Here is a 23906-nt window from a genome sequence, read left to right as displayed (position 1 = left end):
TTTGAGTACAGATGAAATCCCAGTAAGCTTAATGAGATTAGTGCATGTTTGCCAATTACTTTGGGTTATTTGGAAGCAGGTGTAGTAGGCCGAACAATGATCTTCTGAAAGGTAGACACTCCTTAATCCCTGGAACCTGTGAATGTTACCTTATATGGCAAAAAATGACTTTACAGGTTATTTGGTTTTTTTTTTTTTTTTTTTTTTTTTTAAGAGGGGCCAGGCAGGAGCAACAATTAAACCCAATGTATGACTGTGCTGTGGTGTAACTTCTGACAGCAGGATGTCTGAAAGAGATACTGCTCTTTGCTCTTCCAGCCCCTGAGAGACAGGGTATCTCATAGCCTCCAACCTCCTGCTGGGAGGATGAGGAACCATCCTTCAGTGCTTGCCTGCCTGAGTTTGGGCTGCCACTCTAGAACTCCCTGCTCAGCTTCCCAGCCAGTCCAGATTGTGGAATGTGGCTGCTTCTCCCCTTTTAGCTGGGGCAACCACAGGTGGTTCAAGCAACCTCTGCCTGGGCCTGTTGAACTCCACCAGGAGGAGGCAGCCCCAAAGTTCCACACATCTGGACATCTGGGGCCTTGGACAGTGATATGGTCAGCACATGGAGATTGAATCTATGTCTGAGGTGGATACACATTAACTAAGCTCACAAGCTTAATGAATAAGCTGTAACCCAACTCATTAATGTATACCAGCCAGTGTGTTGCAGCCAAATCCTTCCAGGCATGCAGGCCCCAGAACAAAGAGGATTAACAAAGAGCAGATGAAAACAATTCTAGCCAGTAAGCTAAAGGAGAAATCTGCTGGGGAATTCTGAGAAAGATGTCTTTGCTCTGTAAAAAGGAACTAACAAAAACTTTGCATCCAGTATTGGCTGAGATCTCATTGGACCACAGACCTCTCACATGACAAAATTATAAAAAGCAACTATTAAAACACTGGAGAGTGATCAAAAGACATGGCTATTGGAGACAATACTTGGAAGAAGGGACTAGCACTGGATAAGTTTGTCATTTTTTGTAGCTTTTTGCATAAGGGAAGCCCCTAATCAGGGTCATGTGGGGTGGTTAAAACTAGAATATAAGCCCACAGTTGTACTGGCATAAAAAACCAGAGGGCAGAGTTCTGGTGACCATATAGCTGATAAATGAGGAGAAAATCCTGGAGAGGAGAAGGAGCCACAAATGGGTAGCCCCAAATTCTGTGTGTAGAGTCCTCAAATTTCTGAACCCTACATGTATGGGACAGACTCCAAGCAGCACAGGTAGGGCTAACATATCTGAACTAAGATTTCAGGTCCCATCCAGCGGATGGGACAGTATGTGCAGTTTGAGAGTTCAGCCAAGTTAACTGCCTGCTAAAACAAACACAAAAAGCAATACTTCTCAGAAGAATAGAAGGAATTCAGAGTCCCTACACCATACATTCACAATGTTCAGGATACAGTGCAAAGGTATTTGACATTAGGAAAAAACAGGAAAATGTGACCCATACAAACAAGAAAAAGGAATCAATGGAGACCAGTCTCAAGATAACTCAGTTGTAAGCATTAATAGACAAGGATTTTAAAGCAGTTGTATAACCATATTTAAGAATATAAATGAAATATGCTCACAATGAATGAAATGATAGGAAACCTCTGTAGAGAAACAGAAACTATAAAAAGACCACAGTGGAAATTCTAGCATTGAAAAATACAACATCTGAAAGAAAAAGGCTAACAAGAAGCAATAGCCCATTTTTTGCCTTTGGCCATAGTCAGGATGTGATGCTTATTTTGCCATAGTCTTCTGGTCATGAGGATAGCTAGCCTGAAGACAAGGCCCATGTACTGCGCTACATATGGCAGAGCAAGAATATAGGAAGGGGTTGGGTACGGTGGTGCATGCCTGTAATCCCAGCACTTTGGGAGGCCAAGGCAGGCGGATCACTTGAGGCCAGGAGTTCGATGACAGCCTGGCCAACATGGTGAAACCCCGTCTCTACTAAAAATACCAAAATTAGCCAGACGTGGCAGTGGGCGCCTGTAATCCCACCTACTCCGGAGGCTGAGTCAGGAGAATCGCTTGAATCTGGGAGGCAAAGGTTGCAGTGAGACGAGATTGTGCCACTGCACTCCAGCCTGGGTGACAGAGTGAGACTCCTCTGTCTCAAAAAAAAAAAAAAAAAAAATATATATATATATATATATATGAAGGATCTGGGTCTCTGGGCCACTATAGGTTAGGTTAACCTGGGAACTTACCTGCCACCAGACATCTTGTACTGGGAGAAAAAGAAAACGCACTTATTTAAGCAACTTCTGTTTGGAGCTTATGATACTAATCTGAGAAAGAAAGCATTGTTAGGGCTCAGAAAATTATACCCCCAAATATGCCACTTTGGACTTCAAATCGAGAGAACCTGGGGAGCCAGAAATGCAAGAAAGGGTCTTCTCTGAAGTTCCCCTATCTACCTAAAGGTTGTATCCTCCAGAAGATATTCAACTTGTGAATCTCTTTCCCAGACATCTCAAGTCAAATAGATGTATACTGAAGGAAGATTGGAGTTGACACCACACCAAGCCCAGATAAACTTTGTCTCAGACTTTCATCTCTTCTTTGGGCCCATTCATCCCCCCTAAAGATTATTTACTCATCCTGTAAATTGCCTTACATACCCCACTTCCCTCTTCCCTATGAAGAGGGTATTTAAGATTTAGCCATCTGGCCCTTGTTTGAGTTTCATACTTTGTATGACTCCACACTTGCCACACTTGCACATAATACCTTTGTATGCCTTTTCTCCTGTTTTCTTTTTTAAAGGACTTTACACAGATGATTAAGGATTTTAAAATGAGATTATTCTGGATTATCACAGTGGCCCCTAAATGCAAACACATGTATTGTTATTTGACCACAGAAGAGGAGAGAGTGTTGTGACTGCAGAGGCAGAGATTGGTAATGCAGCCATCTGAAGCTGGAAGAGTCAAGGAAGGCTACTCCCCTAGAGCTTCTAGAAGGAGAGCAGCCTGCCTTCATTTTGGCACAGTGAAACTGATTTGGGACTTCAGGCCTCCAGAACTGAGAGAATGAATTTCTGTTGTTTTAAGCTGCCAGTTTGTGGTAATGTGTTACACCTGCCATAGGAAATGAAGCTAGGTATAGTTACAAGGAGGACCATCAGATTCATTTAAATCTCTGCCTTCACTTTATTTCAGAGGGTTTGTTTGTAATTTGGGAGGACAGACGATAACCAAATTACAATAGAAAAATAAACCACCACTGGAATAACAACCAAAACCTCCATTCATGTTTTGTCTACTCTGTATTTATAGTTTCTAGGAAGCTGGGAAAAGATGGAGGTGATATCTAAATGCTCTTTTTGATTTTTTGAACTTGTTCCTTCATTGAGTTCTCAGCTTAAGTGATGCTCTCAGTTGTCCTAGGGTTAAACTGTCAAGAATTGAGATACTGTTTTTAGTTGAAAGCTTTAGGCACCTAAATTTTATTCGTGTCAGAATTCTACCTAACACACACCAGGCATTGTAAGCTTCAGAAGGAGGTAAAATCATTTTATTCAGGCTGCTGTTCTAAGAAATTGCTCTGAATTTTCCCAGCCATTCTTTCCTTTCTATCCTTCTTAATAAAACAGAAAAACCCAGAAATTTTTTTAAATAAATGATTTATCAAAAGAAACAATATATATTAAGTGGCTTTTTGGGGGATACATTTAGTTGCTGAAAGTAGATAACATATGGCATTTAATACTCCTGGACCACTCTGGGTCTTTTCTTTGACGGTAAAAAGGGGTGGGGGTAGAGATAGGGATGATTGTCTCAGATTTAGAACAGGGCTTAATTGCTTTTTTCAAAGACTCATGTCTTTAATTATGAAGCAAGCAAACTGACATACATTTATTACATGGTGAAACCTTGCATCTCATCTAGTCTATCTTGTAGCAATTGCTTCTGAACAGATGTTACCTGAAACACCTTTGTGCAGTTGGTGGAATGCTAAAATTTGTCATGCTTTTATTATTGTTGTCTTGAATTAACTCTACTTTATGGCGTAACTTTATTGCTGTGTCCTAGAATCTTTATATATTTATTGCCTTATAAATTGGATTTAAAATTGGCTTTTTATATAGAATGTAAATTAACATGTGTCTAACTTGTTTATGCTGCAGAATAATACAGGAAAAAACTGCTACGTATTACACTAATGTAATTGTCTTTAACTTAGCACATAGTATCCTCTAAACTAGGAATCAAATGAATGCTAAAGAATATGCTTATCCTTACACTCTTGCTTGTTTATCTCAGAAACTAATTTGACTTTTAGATCTATAAAATATAGATTAAGCATAACCTTTTACTTCATGGGATATTAAGGATCAAAGCATGGGCTTTCTTTGAACAGGATCTACAAAGGTAACTTTTCTTTCAGTAGCAGCAGGATGGCATTGAAATACCTTACCATTGGGAGTAATTTTTCTCAAATAGCAAATTGAATAGTCTTTATTAACTTAGGGGAGAATTTAAGAGTTTAAATAAGCTTTGGTCCTGAAACATTCATGTTACTAGTTACTTAGTGAAATCTATTTGGAAATGCTTGCCATAGATTTTATTCTTCAAAAGACCCACTGCTATCTTTTCTTACAGTTTTTTGTAGAAGAAGCGTTATGAGTAACATTTATGAGCAGTGACTTGAACCACTCTCAGGGGTTGAATCCCAGCAATATCACTTATTAGCTGTGTGAACTGAGCAATTACTTAACCGTTCTCTGTGCCTCCCCTTTCTCATGTGTAACATGGGGTTGTCATGAAGATTAAAAGTTATGTTTTGGGCCTAGAATACCTGGCTCATTGTAACCTCTATGGAAATATTTGCCATTTATAGGATTGTTGTTTTTGTTATCATTAGTAGTAACAGTAATAATAGTACAATTTTTGCCTACACTTTAGGGCATTAGGAATACATTGGATATTTGAAAAGCTTTCTAATCTTGGAAAACTTAATTGAACCAGGCTATTTCCTCTTGGTGTGCTGGAGGCAGAGCCATTCTGTTCTTAGTTCTTATCCTGGCATACCAGGTAACATTTGGATTGATGCAGAGTTCTGATCTGATGACTGAATGGTCAGAGCAAGTTTCTGAAGCTTTCTTAGGGGCCTGTTCTTTATGTCTAAAGTGGGGATAATAGGATGATGAAACTTGGGGTACAAATGTAACTTACAAAAAAACGTATAAAGGAAACAACTTCAAACTTAGGAAAAAAAATTCTTGTGATACTCCAATATGGACTTGAATGATAATAAAAATAATGTTACTAATATATGTACAGATATAAAACTAAGTGTAACTCTTTATGCCTATCACTTTTTACAGCTATAAAACTAAAACAGATTTACATCTACAATCCAAAACAAAACTATAAAACCCATAAAATTCAAATTAACAGCAACATTAATTTAATGCGATTGATGATGTTTTGCTGAAATTAAGTCATCATTATTGGATTTAATAGTGGAAAAATATGTGTATATTTTGCTGTTTTTCTTTCTATCAATTTAATTCTTGGGTGGAAATGGAATCCCAGAGGCTGAGGAAGATATGTGTAGACTGAGGAGTTCACAGATAGCCTTACACTGTTAGCAGAGGCCTGTCATCGGACACCATTATCTTTTTCATAGGTGTTGGCTTGAGGATGTAGATGAAGTAGTGAACTGTTATAAACCTGTTTTTAAAAAGAAAATAGCCATATATAAACATTTTTTAGTAAATGTTATAAAACTGTTGAAGCAGCAGAAAAAATAAAAACTCTTATACTTCCAGCTTCTATATTCATTTTTCTCTTGAAATCTAATTTTCCATACCTGTGGGTGCATAGTTTCCAGAATAATGTGATTTTGGAATTATAAATAGCCATTTGGAACTGAACTCTTCCTAAGTGGAAGAGCTTGTGAAAATCTATTGTGTCATGATGTTGCTTGGCCCTCATTGAGAACCATATTGGTAGTAAATACAAAAGTATTTACAAAAGTAAAACCAAAAGTTCCTGAGAGAACATGGTTATAGAGTGGGTCATTCACAATGTCCAGAATATGCTTACTTTAGTTCTAATGTTTAAGATAATCTTGAAAAAACATAAGACTTAAGTAGAATTTGTGGAAGGCCTCTGTAGACCACAGTTTGGGGTACCCAGAGATGACTTGAGTTAAGAAATTAGATGTGTACCTGAACCAGGCAAATGTTTTTCACCTTAGTCCTTTGTTTAGTGATGAGGTAAAAGTGATTAGTAAGTATCAGTAGTGAAGGATGTATACAATGTGTTTCAAAACAGTTTGCTTCTAATAGTTTTTTTGGTTAAATAAGAAACTTGCAATCTTTAAAAAAATATATTTTATCATGTATGTATCATACAAAAGAGGTGTAAAACACTGTATACTCACTAATAAGCTTAAAACATTAAATATCATAAATTCCATTGAAATGTTCATTTTCTCCCTTCTTATCTTTATCTCCTTCTAATCTTTACTCTTCATTTCCTGGGTTTACAGGGCTTTTTTTTTTAATTCAATTTTGATTTTTTTAAATTCAATTTTGATTTTTTTAGGGTTCCAATTTATATATATATATATATATCTTTCCCTAAAAGTAAATCTGTGAATGGAATTAATACTCAGTAGCTTTCTGATCTCTCCATCTTTGAGGATCATGACAGATCTTAAATACTGGAAAGGAAGGGGGAGACTATGAATTAATGTACCAAGTGTGAGGTCATTCTGTGTGCTGAGGGATGTGGGATATATCCAAGTAGCTGTGGTCTAAGTACACACCCTCTTGAATTAAAGAAGACTGAATACCTGTTCAGTCATAGTTCTGTCAAAGGAGTTATGGTGTAGAATTTCTTGAAGCCCTTAGTAAAAGCCCTGAGTAGATTAATTGTGAGATCCATAATGCTGCATTTATTTAGTTAATTTTATTATGAAGTATCTTCCCAAGATACAGAGAGTTTATCCCGTAATTGCTGCATTTTTTTCCGAGGTTGGCTGTTTATTTGGGTGTCATAAAATGAAACTTTGTAACATTCAGTTTTTAAGTAAAAGATTTGCAAATTGGTGACATTAATTATGGACTTTACTATAGAATTAAACTGTTTTTGTTTATTAAAACCTTTGATTGAATTCCTTGCATAATGACAATTACAATTCTTTTTTAATGAAAAAATTGACAGCCTGGGAAATGAACATGAAAAATGGAGTGCATATAATCTGCATTGAGAAATTCAATATGACTATTTCACTTCTTTATAAAAGGTGACGGTCTCCAATTAAAACCATGTTCTAACTCCACTCAGTCTCTTTTGAGGGTATAATTTTGCTCTTATTGTTATGTTATATTGAACCTGCTTTTAGTTACTTTATACATGTGTTTGTAAGCTTTTGGAAGTCACTTTCTGTGTGGTGCCTGGTATAGACTTGTGCTTACAGTAGGAATCTGAATGTTTGGCTAATTGAAAATCAAAACAAAGTACTCTTGTAACTTTATATTGCCTGGTTCATTAACCCATTCATGATGAATTTGTTTAAATGTTATTAATAATTACTCATTTCTTTTTATAAAAGATCCTAGTGGTGGTGGGCAAGGGTATGTAAAGACTACCAGAAACATATGTGGGTTATTGAAGAACTTGGGCCTGGCAATGTGGCTCTGAAGTCCCACCCTTAAACTGTGATAAAAAGACTTGAGAGAGACTCAAACGTGTCTGTATATCCTTGGGCAAATTATCAACCTTTGTGCCTCTGTTTTCCCTTCTATAAAATGGAAGTAATTAGTCTGTTTGCTTATAGATTGTTGTGAGGATTAGTTGAGTTAACACATGTTACGATAGCTTAGGCACAGCACAATTAATATGTGACAACTATTATTAATAGGGGAGACCTCATCACTATAGTGTTAAGTTCTCAGTTATTGACAGTATTTTAACCTCTTCTTCCTGCTTCCTACTTCCTTTATCCTCATAGCTTTTTTTTTTTTTTTTCCTGGGGGACACTGGTATTGTGTCCAGGGACTCAGCCATTCATTGCAGTGGGACACACACCAGAGGTTTGTTTGGTGCCTGGATATATTCCCTTCCTTTCTGTTTCATGTAGACCTACTACAGCCTCTGTACATTGCCTCTCTTTCTCTGTCTGCCTCCTGCTGTCAACATTTGCTCCACACTAAACCCACACTCCACAAAAGTAACCATGGAGCTCCCTTTGAACTGGGATGCCTTCAAACTCCTCACTTCCTCACACCTCACATAAGGTAGAATATCAATAAATAATAGAACCTTTGGCCTCCTTGTTCAGTTGCCTCAGATCTCCAAGCCTGGAGCAACCTGGCAGGCTTCTGTGGCTGAACTGGGTTCCTGCATCCTGGTGGAAACCACTCCCAGCTTTGTGAACTGATGCCCTTAGACACTGGGTATCTGTGTGTCCTCAGTGCTGCTAGATAACAATCATCATCACAATAACCGCATTTGTTCAGCTCATACAACGGGCTGGGCACTATTTTAATCACTTATCCCTCACACAGTACTTTGAAATGGGCACTCTCCCTACTGTTATTTTGCACATGAGGGGGTTGAGACACAGAGAGATTAACTGGGAATAGGGCATGATGGGTCCTGACTTTTCACTAGCTCTTTGGTCATCTCCTTTTCAATTTCTCACAGCATTTATGCTAAACCTATCACTTCTTTATCTCATCTATTGGCCTGATTCTTTTTTGTCCCAAATAGTTTTTTTTAATTGAAAAAGCGGCCAGGCGCGGTGGCTCATGTCTATAATCCCAGCACTTTGTGAGGCCAAAGCAGGTGGATTGCTTGAGTCCAGGAATTCACGACCAGCCTGGGCAACATGGTGAAACCCCGTCTGTACAAAAAAATACAAAAACGTTAGCCTGGCGTGGTGGTGCATTTCTGAAGTCCCAGCTGCTTGGAAGGCTGAGGTGGGAGGATTGCTTGAACCTCGAAAGCTGTGGTTGCAGTGAGCCATGATTGTGTCACTGCACTCCAGTCTGGGAAACAGAGCGGGATCCTGTCTCAAAAAATAAATAAACTGAAAAACAACATCTGTACTTCTTAAAAAGTCCAACAATGTAGGAGTACAAAGGGGAAATTCCCTAAGCCTCCCTTCCATCCTAGACCACCAATTAAGGTCCCCCTCCCCACCACCTGCCATGATGACATTTATTATTTTTTCTTTTTTAACATGAAAGAAAGTATCAGAGAAGTAAAGAAACAAAAGATGGCTACTCCATAGGCAGAGCAGCCCCAAGGGCTGCTGGTTAGCTTATTATTTTCTTTTATATCTTTTTTTTTTTTTTTTTTTGAGACAGTGTCTCACTCTGTCACCCAGGCTGGCGTGCAGTGGTACAATCATGGCTCACTGCAGCCTTCACCTCTTGGGCTCATGTGATCCTCCCACCTCAGCTTCTGGAGTAGCTGGGACTACAGGCACGCTGCACCGCTTGGCTAATTTATTTATTTATATTTTATAGAGACAGGGTCTCATCGTGTTGCCCTGGCTTGTCTTGAACTCTTGGGCTAAAGTAGTTCTTCTACCTCAGCCTCTTAAAGTGCTGGGATTGTAGATGTGAGCCACTGCACCTAGCTCTTTTGTATCCTTCCAATGATATTCTGTGTGTATGTCAAGCACCCACTTTTTTCCCACATGGGAACATACCACAGCATTCGCTTAAGATCTTAGGAATGATTACTCCTGACTCTTAGCATGCCCCTTGATACCTTTTTCAGAGAAAGTTTTCCTAGAGCTTGCTGTAATTGTCTATATCTGCGACCATTCTTCATTGTTTCTCCTCCAATATCCACACAAGGAATATATTTTCCTATTTGAGGTTAATCTCTTTACTGCTGTTTTTGGCCCATCCACATTCTGTCAGGAAGGTTTTGCTTTTTACACGCTCCATCCTGTAATGGTGCTGAAATGTTTACCATTGTGAAAGAAAAAGCAGAAGGAAAACCAAACAACCCCTTTCCTCAACTTTCCCTTGACCCTTTGTCTCTCTGAATACCATGCTCTGCTTCCTTCCTTTTTAGCCACTTTCTGTGAATTACTTGTTTTCATTTATTCGGTAAATTTTTGAATGCCAGTTATACTGAGCATAGCACACGGGTAGATGCAATTTGGTCCTTGATTTCAAGAGGTTTATATTCAGTCTGGTATGGGGAAAGAGAGGTGTGAATCAACACATACTACAGTGTTGCTGGGGAGTTCATGTAGCATAATCTTTAAGAACTCAGGCTGTGGAGTTAACTTGGGCTTTTTTTTGAGTCAGGGTCTTGCTCTGTTGCCCAGGCAGATCAACTGCCAAACCCAGTGCTGATTTTTGTCTTAAGCCTCACCCTATATGACTTCTTCATTGTATTTGTACAAACCTTGCCCCCCTTGAAACCATGGTCTAACATGTTCTTCTCTTCTGATCTTTGGTTATTCCTTTCCCTATCCTTTAAAATGAGTCTTTCCAAGTAATCTCTTTGATTTTCTCTTTTTACTTTATACGTGCTTCTAGTGTGAACTCATCCATTTCTTTAGCTTTTACTACCACTTAGATTAGTGCTTTCTGAAATGATGGAAATGTTGTGTCCTGCCATGTCCAATTTGATAGTCACTAGCTATATGTGGCTTTTGAGCACTTGAATGTGGCTACTGCTACCAAAGAGCTGAATTTTTAATTTGTGTAATTTGAATTAAGTTGTGTTTAAATAGCCATATGTGGCTAATGGCTAGCATATTGGACAGCTCAGATTTAGAAGCTGATGACTTCTTAAAACTCCATCTTTATTTTAGGATGGTCTTTTGAGCTTTTGTCCAAAATATTCAACCTTATTTTACATGGATGGCTTAGAGGTACCTCAAACTCACTGTATCTCAACTCGAATTTATCTGCTTTCTCATAAACTTCTTTCTTTTGTATTCTCTTAGTCAGTGTCAACATTTTATCCTTGGATTTATTTTCAACTTCTTGATCTTTAACTTCCATATGCATTGGTTATCCAGTAACCTTGATTATGCTTCCTGGGTACTTATAGCACTTGCCTCTTCTCTTCTCCTACTGTCCCTGACCTCATCTATCTTACCTTCCATCTCTCTGCTGGGTTATTGCAATAGATTGCAATAGCTTCCTAACTGATTTCCTTGGCTCTCGTTCTTGGGTCTACTCTGTTTTATCCACCATGTTGCTGCTACAATAGTTTTCTTTGGAACCCAAGTGTGATTATGGAACCTGCTTAAAACCCTTCAGTTTCTCTCCTGCATCATCCACAACTTAAAGGCCAAGTAGCATGATCTTGTCCTTTAAATTTTGTCATTGCCCACATTTCTAGATTGGATCCCTCAACTTCCACCTGAAATTCCAGTTCCTATTCATACAATTTACTTGTAGGTCCCTGCATGATTGCAATGTATTTTTACAAGCTAGACCTCCTGTCTAGAAAGCTTTTGCTCTGTGCTGGTTTGGTCCATTCCAGTGTCCTCTGTGCATGCTTGAAGCAAATCTGGACCCTGAGGTGTTCCCTGGTATCTGTAAGCAGATCTTCTGGAATGCTTAGATCAGTGTCAGTTATAGCACTAATCTCACTGTACTGTACCTTACAGATTGAAGTTTCTGTTAGCCTTACTTATCTGATAGAGGGGAAGGGGAGGCCCAAGAGCAAATTTTCCCTATTTGAGTCTCTAGTTCCAAACATGTACCAAGTAGATTGATGAACAAATTTACCTTTTTTTTGTTTTGTCCCAATCTCCTATACTTAAGAACCTTGGCTGCTCAGTCTTCCAAAAATGGCTATATTTTCCAAATGACCTTTTCTCTGTAAATAGGAATTTGCACAAGTTGAAGACACATGCTGAGAATTTTCCTATGGTATTCTTGGCAGCATTTTTTTTCCTAGTTCTTCAGCTGACAGACATTTGCCTACATTCAAGTTTAAAGGGACTACCTATGGGCCTTGGAGGCTTCACCTGTGAGTCAGGTGTTTCTTATAGACTACCTTCCAGTAACGTGATTTAACTCTTATAGATAACATGGACATTTTATTCTGGCAAAGATGATGCAGTTTTATAGCCTATGGAGCTACCCTCAATAAGTTTACGAGTGAAACAACATCAGTGATGACAGAAACAGGCATGTGAGAATTATCTTCACATCCTTGTGAGATCTGCAGTCCTTAGTAATTTTCACTAGATTATTAGGATCAATGGGTGCCTTCCCTTACCTGTGGCTATCAGCTGCTGACTTCCTGCAAACCTTGTTGCCTTTTTTTATTAGTGTGTTTGAATGGTGCGATAATCAACCTAAAACTATTGTACTTTTAAAAGTCCTATACAAATATGCTTAAATCATTGCTGAAGTCTCCTTTGGCATTGTTGGAGGATTTCCAAGGACAGTTAGGCTGCAGTTGCTTGAGCTTGTGGCTGGACTACAGAAATTGGTGTGTTCATAACCAGACTGCAATATAGACTGTAATGTGTTAGGATTTCACTGTATTGCATATGGCACAGTGCAAATTAGGTACAGTATTGGGCCGCTCTGTATCAAATCCCATTCTAGAATTTCTCTCTCCAAATTCCCCACATTGCTTTGGATGACAAGTGCAAAGGAAAGCATTAAGGAGATGAATCTGTGTTTTTCAGTATGTTTAGCTCTGGCAGGCAGTTACTAATGTTATATTGTTTTTTTGAATCACCAAGAAGGGAAAATAAATGACCCAGCTTATTTCTTTTTCCTCTAGAACTTATTGGATTGTAAACTTCTTCAGGGCAGGTACCATATTTTATAGGTCTTTATGACCCAGCCTGCACCTGGTGGCCTGGTAACTTAGATGTGCAGTAACTATATCCTGTTTGGTTAATATTTCTGAAAGAAATGTAAAAGGTAACCTACATCTTATGCGTAGTACTGGAACTGCATGTAAAAACTGGAATTGTGCTCTTCATTTTTCAGATGCTCATTTTATAAATATGTAATCATCTTTTTGATTCCTTTTAAGAGATAAAACAACTTAGAGGGTGTAATAAGTAGTATTAAATTATACAAGAAAACTTAATGGTAATTCAGTTATTTAGAATAAGTTCAAACTTTATCAATAATTTAAGAAATTAAATTTTCTTTAGCTGTTGTATTATAATTCCTGACAAGCATTTTTTAGTGACATGTTGGAATGTGGATAATTTTGGCTTATGTTTCAGTCTGAATTGGGAGTGTATGGTTTATAAGGTTTGTGGTATATACCCCAGCTTTAAAAATCTATAAATGAGAAATAAAAAAGCTTTTCATTTCTATTACACATTTGAGAGCAACTTAAAAAAAAAAAGGAGGAAACACCCTAGCAAACCATGTATTCTTATTAGTGTTAGTCAATTGACAGAAATTGCAACCCCCCTCCATGCCCATTTATCTTTGAGGTTTTGTTTTTTGAGACGGAGTCTCGCTCTGTCACCCAGGCTGGAGTGCAGTGGCACGATCTCAGCTCACTGCAAGCTCCGCCTCTGAGTTCACGTCATTCTCCTGCCTCAGCCTCCCAAGTAGCTGGGACTACAGGTGCCCGCCACCACGCCCAGCTAATTTTTTGTATTTTTTTTAGTAGAGACGGGGTTTCACTGTGTTAGCCAGGATGGTCTCGATCTCCTGACCTTGTGATCCACCCGCCTCAGCCTCCCTGCTGGGATTACAGGCGTGAGCCACTGCGCCTGGTTTTAAGGTGTGGTTTTGTAGTCAGTGTTGTTGTTATCATTTAGTAATCATCCAATTGGAATTATGCTCATCTTTCTTGTTAAGATTTCATTTTTGAATTCTTTGCTCCATAAATAATTCAGAAACTGCTTCAGCAGCTGGCTGTCCCATCATAGTTCTGGGGACTGAGGGAAAGGAAGGAGAGTGAGGCTGGATTTTTGACTCATTCCCAGCCTAGGTACTCACCAACCCTTATAAGTCACTTCTGTGCTGTTCAATTTCCTGTTCTCTAAGATGGGGATAATAGCGAGTTTTTAGGGTTGCTGGGTATACTAGTAATCGCAAAGTGTCCAGTAAGGTGTAGTAGTAGTGATAAGGTGGGCTGTATCATATGGGTACCTAGGGACCCATTTAGCAATCTTGGGTTCTGTCTCAGTTAAAGGCCCATTTGGTCTAAAGGAACAGATCCCTATACAATATCTACTGTAATCCTGAAAGGAGGAATTGTAAAGATACACAAGAGTAGCACCTCTAATCAAGCTGGCCGTCACAAAGGACTGGAACCAGGAACTAAAAGCTGACAGCTTTTCTCAGTCTCTTTCCCTCTCAGGCCATCCAGTGTCTCTTTGCTTCTCACTAGGCATAGCTCCACTGTTGATTCTCTGCATTGTGTGGCTTCCTCTGCTTTGATCTTCACACAGCCAAGCCTAGAACCTCATAATTCCAGATAGACATACATGTCCTTGGTCCGTGCAAGAGTAGAGCCTGATTTTCATATCTGAATTCCAATTCTAGAATTCTGGGAAAATGGAGATTTGATTGGCTCTGCTTGGGTTTATATTCTGCCTTGTGTTTAGCTGCGGCTAGGGCTGGCTTACAAGGAACAGTGAAGACTGGTGGGCCTACCTCTATGGCATAGGCATTCTCAGAGAAGAGACAGTGTGCAGGAGGCAGATACACCCACAGGTGTCTACCTTGTTTACATGTGGGGATCTTTGGAGATTTCTTGATGACAGTCTTGGTGCTGAAAGACTGAGTCTAAAATAGTTTGCCTAGTTTTAGTAGTTTTGTTTCCAGGTTGCACATTAGAGTTACCTGGGGACCTTTAAAATTATCCATGGCAGGCTCCATCTTTGGGTATTGATTCATTTGGGCTGGGATATTACATAGGCATCCGTATTGGGAAAAGAAAACAAGCTTTCAGGTGATTCTCATATGTAGTCAGGTTGATAACCACTGCCTAAAATGTTCCCTGCACCATGGTAGGGCTGGGGATTCAAAGTTGAGGGGAACATAGTACCTGCGACATACAAACAGAAAAGGAGGTATAAACACAAACTGCAAGACAAACCATTATCGGTGACCCAAGGGAATTGTAAACAAAAGGGCTGTGGGAAGAAGGAAATGAGATCATTTCTCCATAATAATGAAGGTTGATCCACCCTTACTCTAAATTTTTATCTGCAGTACCTACTTAATCTGTTTACCTCACATCTGATTCGTCCATCTGACTGTGAGTCTCCTGAGGCCCTGGCAACATGCTGGCTCTGGGGATGGCATTAGGAAACTGCCACTGCATAGATTTTTCAACCCCCATATTTGAGCCCCAAAGAAATATGACAGCATGTGAAAGGCCCCAGAGGGCAGCCCAACATAACTGACACCCAGCAAAACAGAGCTGCTGGTAAATTGACCATGACAAAAATCAAGCCCACAGGAGAGGCAGTACACATTTAAAATGGATTTAGATGGATTACAGACTGGTTATGGGGCCCTAGAGGAGGAGAAGACTATTGGGAGTATCCTTGAGAATGAGTGAGCTGAACCCAGGTGATGCCTATATGGATCTTACTGTGAAGGAAGCAGAATAACATTGGTCAAAGTTTCTGAACCTCAGGTGTAGTATTTTGTGTACCATGGTCTTTTCTATAAGTCTTCTACCAAGCCTATGGGGAAGATGCTTGTTTGCCTCATAGTACAGTTAAGAAATTCAGGCTCAGAGAGTTTAAGTGCTCAAGATCACACAGATGATTGGTATCAGAGCTGGATTCTGATCCAGGTGAGTCTTATCCCAGAGCCGAGGCTGTTCACCTCTGCTCAGTACTGCTCTATTGTGCCACAGTGCAAGGCAGGATGTAAAAGTGCTAGGAAGGCACGCTTGATGTGGGCAAGCTTAGAGAACCTTCCTGAATCAGGCAGCATTTGAAAGGTGAGCCAGGTATTGAGAGGGAGAGGACTGCGGTAGTGTCTTGGTCAAGGCCCAGAAATAAACAGAAACCAAGGTAGGTTGGTTTAAGGTGAGGATTATTTAGGAAAGTATTAAAAGAGAAAGGCTGGCCGGATGAGGTGGACTCACACCTTACTGTAATCCCAGCATTTTGGAAGGCTGAGGCAGAAGGATCACTTGAGGCTAGGAGTTTAAGACCAGTCTGGGCAACATAGTGGGACCGCCGTCTATAAAAAAAAAAAGAAAAAAAAAATGTGGGGCATGGTGGTGTGCTCTTGTAATCCCAGCTACTTGGGAAGCTGATCGCTTGAGCTCAGTAGTTCGAGACTGCAGTGAGCTATGATCCCTCCATTGCATTCCAGCTTGGGCGACACAGCAAGACCCTGTCTCTAAAAAAAATAATAAAAAATAAAAAAGAAAGGAAAAGGGCATATTGGAGATGCTGAGGTAAATCAGAGATTATTAACTGCAGGAAGGGAAAGAGTCCCTGATGGTAGGAGCTGGAGGAGGGGCAACCATGGCTGGTGCTGGGCTGTCTACAAGGGTCCCTGTTGCTGGGACTCGCACACGTGTGGAGCACATTACCATCTGCATGTAGACCTCTTGGGGGGACTCCTTAGGGTTGGCGCTCAAACTTCCGAGGGGTCCTCAGAGTTATGTTTAAATTGTTGTAAATACTGTTTTTCTTACTGTTTTTTCTCTAGACATGCTAAACTGGTCCCTCTACCCCCTAGACTAATTCCATATTAAAAAAATAATTGATAGAATTAACTGAGTTTTTCCAAAAATTGCCTTTATTGGCTTTACAGTGTTTTGAGAGTATTTCTAATACCTTCTGGTAAATGACTCCTGGAAGCATAACTAAGCCACTTAAAGGGCCCTCAAGTAAATAATGATTATTTGAGTACAGACCTTCCTCCCTACCTTCAGTAATTTGTATAATATGCTGAATATGCTGATCTGATTATTATTTACTGTGTAAGTTGGTTATTTATATTTGTATACTTACAAAATATTTGTGACTATTCAGTTAGAAAAGTAAAAGCCCACGTCTTTGAAATGGTCTGGGACTGATCTGCCTCCTCCTTCCCTCTCACTGACTTCATTTTGTCCTGTTGGAGCCAACAAGCTCCCTTGTTTCTTGAACATCAGGCATACTCCTCCTGACAGCCTTGTTATGGCTGTTTTTTCTATTGCAAACACTCCCCTGCCCATCCATATAGATGACACCTTAGCCCACTGGCAACTCTGCTCAAACACCACTTTGTCAATGAGGCCTATGCCTACCTCAATTCCCCATGTTTAAAATTGCAACCTGCAAACCCTCTTGGCTTATGCTACTTTTTATTTTTATCAGAGCATTCATCACCTTCTAACATCTTAAATAAGTAATTTACTTATTGTGCTTATTGTCTGTTTCCCCAATAAAGATAAGTTCTTTTAGGGCAAAAATCTTTGTTTTATTTATTGATCTCTCCCTTGTCAAGAATATAGCAATATTTAATTAACAGTTGTTGCATGAATGAATGTTTTAGGAATCTTTCATTCTGTTAGAAGAACAAATTCTACATTCCAAGTTTTACCTGAATCATGGCTAAAATTTTATTTGCCTTTAGTCTTAGATCATTGCTATAATGCTTGCCTGTTAATTAGCATGCATTTAAGCATATATGATTAGCAGGTGGAGACTCCGCTTTTCTTCCAATCACCATTGAATACCTTATTATGAAGCATTTTGGTTATTGGTTTATCTTGTTCTTTTGGTTGCAAGCTTGTAAGGGGAGAGACTGGGTCTTCATATTTAATGATGTGTCTCACACATGTTGGCCTAATTGTGTAGTAGAAAAAATTAGAATTATGAGACTAGGTCTTGCTTAAAATCTTTATCTTTTATTTCTTATATTTTGGCATCATGACCTTATTTACATTAAGGAATTATCTAGTAAGTGGTATTTACCCTAACTTTCTCAAGATGGCATGATATCATTTACATTTACAATAAAGAAAAATGATAGATTTCTTTTAACTCTGCCATTAATAAGTGTCATAAAGTAGAAAAATAAAGCAAAGTCAATATATTATTGTTGCCACAGAAATTGAATTTGTGTCAAAAGGATTTGTGCTTGTGATGTAGTGATTCGTATATTTTTCTTGGAATTAAGTCTGTAGCAGGTGACAACATCAATAATTCACAGAACCAAGGAGCTTTTTGAGATTGGATAATTTATATATGTGAATTAGAAAACAGACGAATAATGTGCTTAATATATTCTGACATACTTGAAAATATGCATTAAAAAACTAGCCTATTAAAAAGTCTGTGCACATATTTATTAGATGTTTTTTAGATTTTCATTTTTTCTTTTACTAATACATACATTTTTATTTGAAAAGGAACAATCTGTATTTTCTGCTCAATCTGAAAAGTATTATCCATAGTAACTTAAAAAATACTTTCTGTATTAAAAGTAAATATGCTTATTGAGACAACTGGGAAAATACATGAAGATATGAAAAAAACCCACAAATCCCATAATCCAGATGTGTAAAATTACCTATGATTCCTGTTTTATTTTTTCCATATATATGTATATTAATGAAGTTGGAATTATGTTACATATGCAATTTTAAATGCACTTTTTTTCATGTACCATTGTATTGTAAGCATTTTTCCATGTCATTATAGTTCATATTGGTAGGACTGTGATTTATTTAATCTTTCCTATGTTTGGGGAAATCTCAGGCTGATTACAGTTCTAGCTATTTAAAGTAATGCTGTAGTGATACATATTTGTATATAAACTTTTGATTGTATTTCTTAATTCCCAAGTATGGATTCTAGAAGTAGAATTATTAGGTTAAAGTGTGAACATGGGATTTGTTTTACCAAATTGTTTCCTAAAATGGTTTAACCAAATTTCCTTTATGGTGATGCTGAAATATAAACAAAATCTTTCTCAAATATATGTGAAAGAATGGGTGATGCTCTGTCAGTCTCAGGAACATCCAATCTAAATTTGTGTTGTGGACAAGATGTCTAGGATGCTAAGCCACTCTCAGAAGTAATTTAGTAGTTGCGATAAGCTTCAAGGTGACTCTGGGAGTTCTGGGATCTCTAATTCTCTGTATAGCAAATACTGTAAATGCTTTTCAGCCTTCTCCAGACAATGAAAAAGGTCTTGGATTCCCATAACCTAGAACTGAACCTACTTGTAAAGTGGTTCAGAGATTCGATTTGCTTTTCCCTGGACATGTTGCAAAAGAGTTTTTCATCTGGTAGTATAGGTGAAAAGAACTGAAATAGACGAAGAGGCATCTTAAAATATGTACAAAAGCTGTGTTACTAAATTAGCCATTATATTTTTCCTTTTATTTTACCCCAACATTGAATGAGTTCATTCAAGGAAAAAGAATATTGGAGTTATGTTAGAATGAAAAATGACTTGTTAGGTTAGCCTCTGTGGGGTGCAATCTAGGTCAGAGTCCCAAGCCACAATATGATAATTGTTTTTTTCTACAGAGGCAGTTCTTTCCTAGCAGGTATGTTGCCTCCTTAAACCTTGTGTTCTCAGAGAAATGCATCTTTTCACTGCTGTGGACACTTGAATGATGCCTTCTCCTTAACGCTGATCTCTCGTTGGCTCTCCTTTCACGATGGAGGAATTGAGGGGCAGGGAGGTCTGGATACTTGAGTGCATGACAGTAGAGAAGCTTTGGATAGTGAGTAATACATGGTATGTTTGTCTTTCTGAGGTTGGCAGAATTGCAGTTTTGAATAAATGAGCAGATTAAAAGAGGCTGGAGAGCTTTTCCTAATTCTCACCTGTTCCTAACATCTCCCCTTTCACTTTTTTCCACCTTGGACTGAAAAAACATGTCAACTTAAAAGTTTTTCTTTGTAGTATCAAAGAGCCAGCTCTACTCTTGTCCTCAGTGCTATGAAAGCTTCAGTATTATTTTTGGACCTTTCTTAGATGTTAAATCTGGAGCCCTTGAAGAATAATATTTTCACATCTATGTGTGTTGTGTAGTTGCCAGGGAGATGATCCATAGACTCTGTAGGTGTGTCGAGAGTCATGGCTGGTAGGAATATTACTTTAAATTTTCATAGTCTTTATAATTGGTGTTGACGTTAAGATAAACACAGGTGTGTGGGCTAGAAATGTTATCAGATTGAAGTACATATTCATACATTATTGTTGGAAAGGAATAATCTGGACTTCAAAACAAAAATGTGAGCAACATCTCAACCTATTATCAGCCATAGATTATGATTAAGAGAAGATGATTAAGAGAAGACTAATCCTTTCCTTTTTTCTTTAAGATATCCTCCCCTCCCCTCCCCTCTTCCCTCTTCCCTCTTCCCTCTTCCCTCTTCCCCTTCTTCTCCTTCTCCTTCTCCTTCTCCTTCCTTCCTGTTAGTAACCTGTGATTTATTCATTTTGTCAAGCAAATGGTATCATGTCATAGTCTGATACAATGAACAATCTTTAATACTTAGGTACTAAGTTTATGTTTATGAGACTGAATGATTTGTACCTTAGACTAAGCATTTAAATAAATGATGCAATTGGTAATTCATCATACATACCAGAGATTGTTGAATTATCTTAAAACAGTGCTAATTGGTACCTTTCACTTCATGGCAGTAAGGCCTGTCCCAACTTTATCAGCTCTCTGTTTTCACTTCTTTGAAATACTCTTGTACTTCTTATCTATACCCTTCATGTGGCTTGTTTCAGGTATGTCCAGTTTTTAAAGTGAGCTACATGATGAGAAATTCATATGTGTGCAGGCTGAGGGAATGTTTAATGGCTGATAGTGGTGGAGTATGGAGTAGGGTTTCTCACGTGGTCCTGGGCATGCTGCCACATCATTACAGGCATGACTTCTTAAACATGTGGGTTCCCAGGTCCCACCTTAGACTTACTGAATAAGAATATTGGTAGACTGAGGCCCTCTAATCTAGCTTTTCAGAGAAAGTCTTGGTGTGATTCTTGTGCACGCCAAACAAACAAAAACCTGGAAAAACCAGCTGGTCCGGAGGATCTAGCTTATGAAAATTGTGTCTGAGTCTTTAATCTTACAAGTTTTCCTCATGTTGGTAATCCCTCATAACCCACTTAAATGACGTAAATTTTTGGCCAGGCGTGGTGGCTCACTCCTTTAATCCCAGCACTTTGGGAGGCCGAGGTGGGAGGATCACCTGAGGTCAGGATTTCGAGACTAGTCTGGCCAACATGGCGAAACCCTGTCTCCACTAAAAATACAAAAATTAGCCGGGCATGGTGGTGCACGCCTGTGGTCCCAGCTACTCGAGAGGCTGAGGCAGGAGCATCACTTGAACCTGAGATCAAGTGCACTGCTGCACTCCAGCCTGGGTGACCGAGCAAGACTGTGTCTAAAAAAAAAAAAAAAAAAAAGTCAATTTTAATGGAATTAAACTGTGTCAGCCAAAGATTATTTAAAAATGCTACCACATATTTGGTTCTGATAATAATAAATTGATGCAAGCCTACTGGCTTGAATCTGATGGTGGCTGTCATGTTCCTAATGATATCAATGGACAGATCCTTTGCTCCATTGGCCTGCTAGTTCAGATATGCTAACCAATGAAAGAAAACATAAAATTTGCGAAAAGTCTTGGGCTACAGCTTGGCATCTTTTTCACTGTGTGTGGACCTCCTGGGTTTGTATATTGCTTTGTGTACTACAATTTATCTGTCTTTGTTACTTGTAAACTAAGTTAGTGGGGAAACTATTTCACATGCCTCTTGATATTCACAGCATTTAGCACAGTTCTCTGAAAGCTCTAAATCCATTTTTTGACAGCATGTACTATCTTCAATAAAAGTTTTGATGCATTGCTTAAATGGGAATATAGAGACCGATGTTCTGTGTTTCTACTTTTTTCCCCCCGACTCCTATGTTCTTTTGAAGAAAAATCTATAAAGGCTTTTTTTCTCTTTCAATTCCAGAGTGACCCTCTTGACCATTCATCCTAGGAACTGTCATTAACAGAAAACATTGTTACCCATCTGTATGTGGTTCTCCTTACTTTTTAGGGAGAAAATAGAATTAGTATTTGAGAAACATAGGACCAGAGGAAGAAGGATGAGTTTTTAGCTTAGGAAAAGAGCCCTCATATTCTTTAATATCACACCTTAACCAATAACCAGTAGTCTTGTGGACAGAACGGTTATTTATTATTATTTTTTTTTTTTTTGAGACGGAGTCTCGCTCTGTCGCCCAGGCTGGAGTGCAGTGGCACAATCTCGGCTCACTGCAAGCTCCGCCTCCCGGGTTCACGCCATTCTCCTGTCTCAGCCTCCCGAGTAGCTGGGACTGCAGGCACCCGCCACCACGCCCGGCTAATTTTTTTTTTTGTATTTTTAGTAGAGACGGGGTTTCACTGTGTTAGCCAGGATGGTCTCGATCTCCTGACCTCGTGATCCGCCCGCCTCTGCCTCCCAAAGTGCTGGGATTACAGGCGTGAGCCGCCGCGCCCGGCAGAATTGTTTATAATTTAAAATCATGAGTTTTATTTGATTTCAGTGCCATAAAACATTAATAACACCTCTAGAATCATAGGCCAGGTAGGTAATATATGTAAAGGTCACAAAGTCACATTTAGATATGAAAGTTTTAATGTCTAAAACTGTATGCTTCTAACTTTTTTTTTTTTTTTTTTTTGGTAAATATAACCCTAAAAATTTGCTATCAGGTTATTATTTTTAAAGGTGTTTCCTAGTTGCTTCCATTTAATAGTCGGTTTTATGTTTCTATTTCCTTTTTGGAGTAGATGTCCACGGTGGCTACTCATGAACTGGATTGATGTTTGCAGTTAACTATTTTCCTGAACTAGAAGACAGTAAAGAGCATTGCTGGTGGCTATAAAACAGAGGTACTTCATTTTAAACAGTACCTCAAGTACCACCATAAAATCAATATTTTTGTGTTACAAAGTTTTTTCTAATTTTAATTAAGGATATTACCCTTATAGTTTTGTATTTACAAAAGTAAGGCTAAAACCCCATAGAATTATCTGAGGATTTAGTTAGTCATTTTCTTCCTTTCTCCCTCTTCTTGGCAATTTCTACTTCATGGATAGTCCCTATTTTATGTGTATAAGCCAAACAGGCAGGACCTTGAGATCATGTAAACTTTCAATGATAAACTTGAATTTAGTATTAACATTCAGACATCCTACAAAAGATTGCCACTTGATATAGTGTTTACATTTTTTCACTAAGTATTTAGTGTTTATTTTTTCTTTAATTCACGTTTAAAGTAAACTATGATGAGACATTCCAGTTTTTAAGGGAAATTACTAGTGCTTAGATTTATTTAGATTTTTAATGCTAGCCTATCTTTAGTGGTTTAAGATTGCATGTGTGTACATAACTATGTAATCTCTATTCTTCAGCAAGCTAAATCTTGAAATGAAACCTATTCTGACTTTATTGTTTTGGTGTAGAAAGAAACACAATTCTCAGATCAGTTTTCCAGCTCCTTACTCTGTTAGTGAGTTTCTCCAGTCCCGTCTGGACTCTTGAATTTGCTGTGATTTCCTGCCCTATTGACTTCTCTTGCTGATGGTGAGAATTGATAGGTAAGTGTTCTCTGGAAGAGAAGGAATGATGAATTTGACCTTCTTTTCTCTCAGACTCTGTTATACTCTCCACATCTACATCCCTTTGAGTTTTCTTCTCCATGCAGGATACACCTGCATCTTAATTCTGTTGTGATTCATCACATGTTCTTTGGGAAATATAATAACATAGGTTATAACTGGGCTTATGTACATACCTATATAGTTTGAAAACAGATCAAGCCTTTAGGAAATTAAATCTTTTAAAAAGCTATACCCTCAATGAGATAGTTTCAGAATGTATATATTAAAAAAAAAAAAAAAAGAAAACCATGACCAAAAATGGATCCCTGGGTTGCCTTG

General features: G+C 38.5%; 1 protein-coding gene and 1 long non-coding RNA gene across 17 annotated transcripts in view; one reads left to right on the top strand and one right to left on the bottom strand.

Annotated features, from left to right (window-relative positions):
• The window catches only part of DIAPH3 (diaphanous related formin 3), a 498346-nt gene that overhangs the window by 4811 nt on the left and 469629 nt on the right, over positions 1-23906 (top strand). The gene's annotated exons all lie outside the window — the stretch shown is intronic.
• DIAPH3-AS2 (DIAPH3 antisense RNA 2) lies at positions 5613-14420 on the bottom strand. The gene is made up of 3 exons (NR_046540.1): positions 14255-14420; positions 11773-11863; positions 5613-5722 (listed from the first exon to the last, which is right to left on the bottom strand). It is a non-coding gene; the product is annotated as a DIAPH3 antisense RNA 2 (long non-coding RNA).

Source organism: Homo sapiens, chromosome 13, assembly GCF_000001405.40.
Source record: "Homo sapiens chromosome 13, GRCh38.p14 Primary Assembly".
NCBI classification, from domain to species: domain Eukaryota; kingdom Metazoa; phylum Chordata; class Mammalia; order Primates; family Hominidae; genus Homo; species Homo sapiens.
The sequence above is the reverse complement of the archived record's forward strand: the minus strand, read 5'-3'. Positions and strand labels throughout refer to the sequence as shown.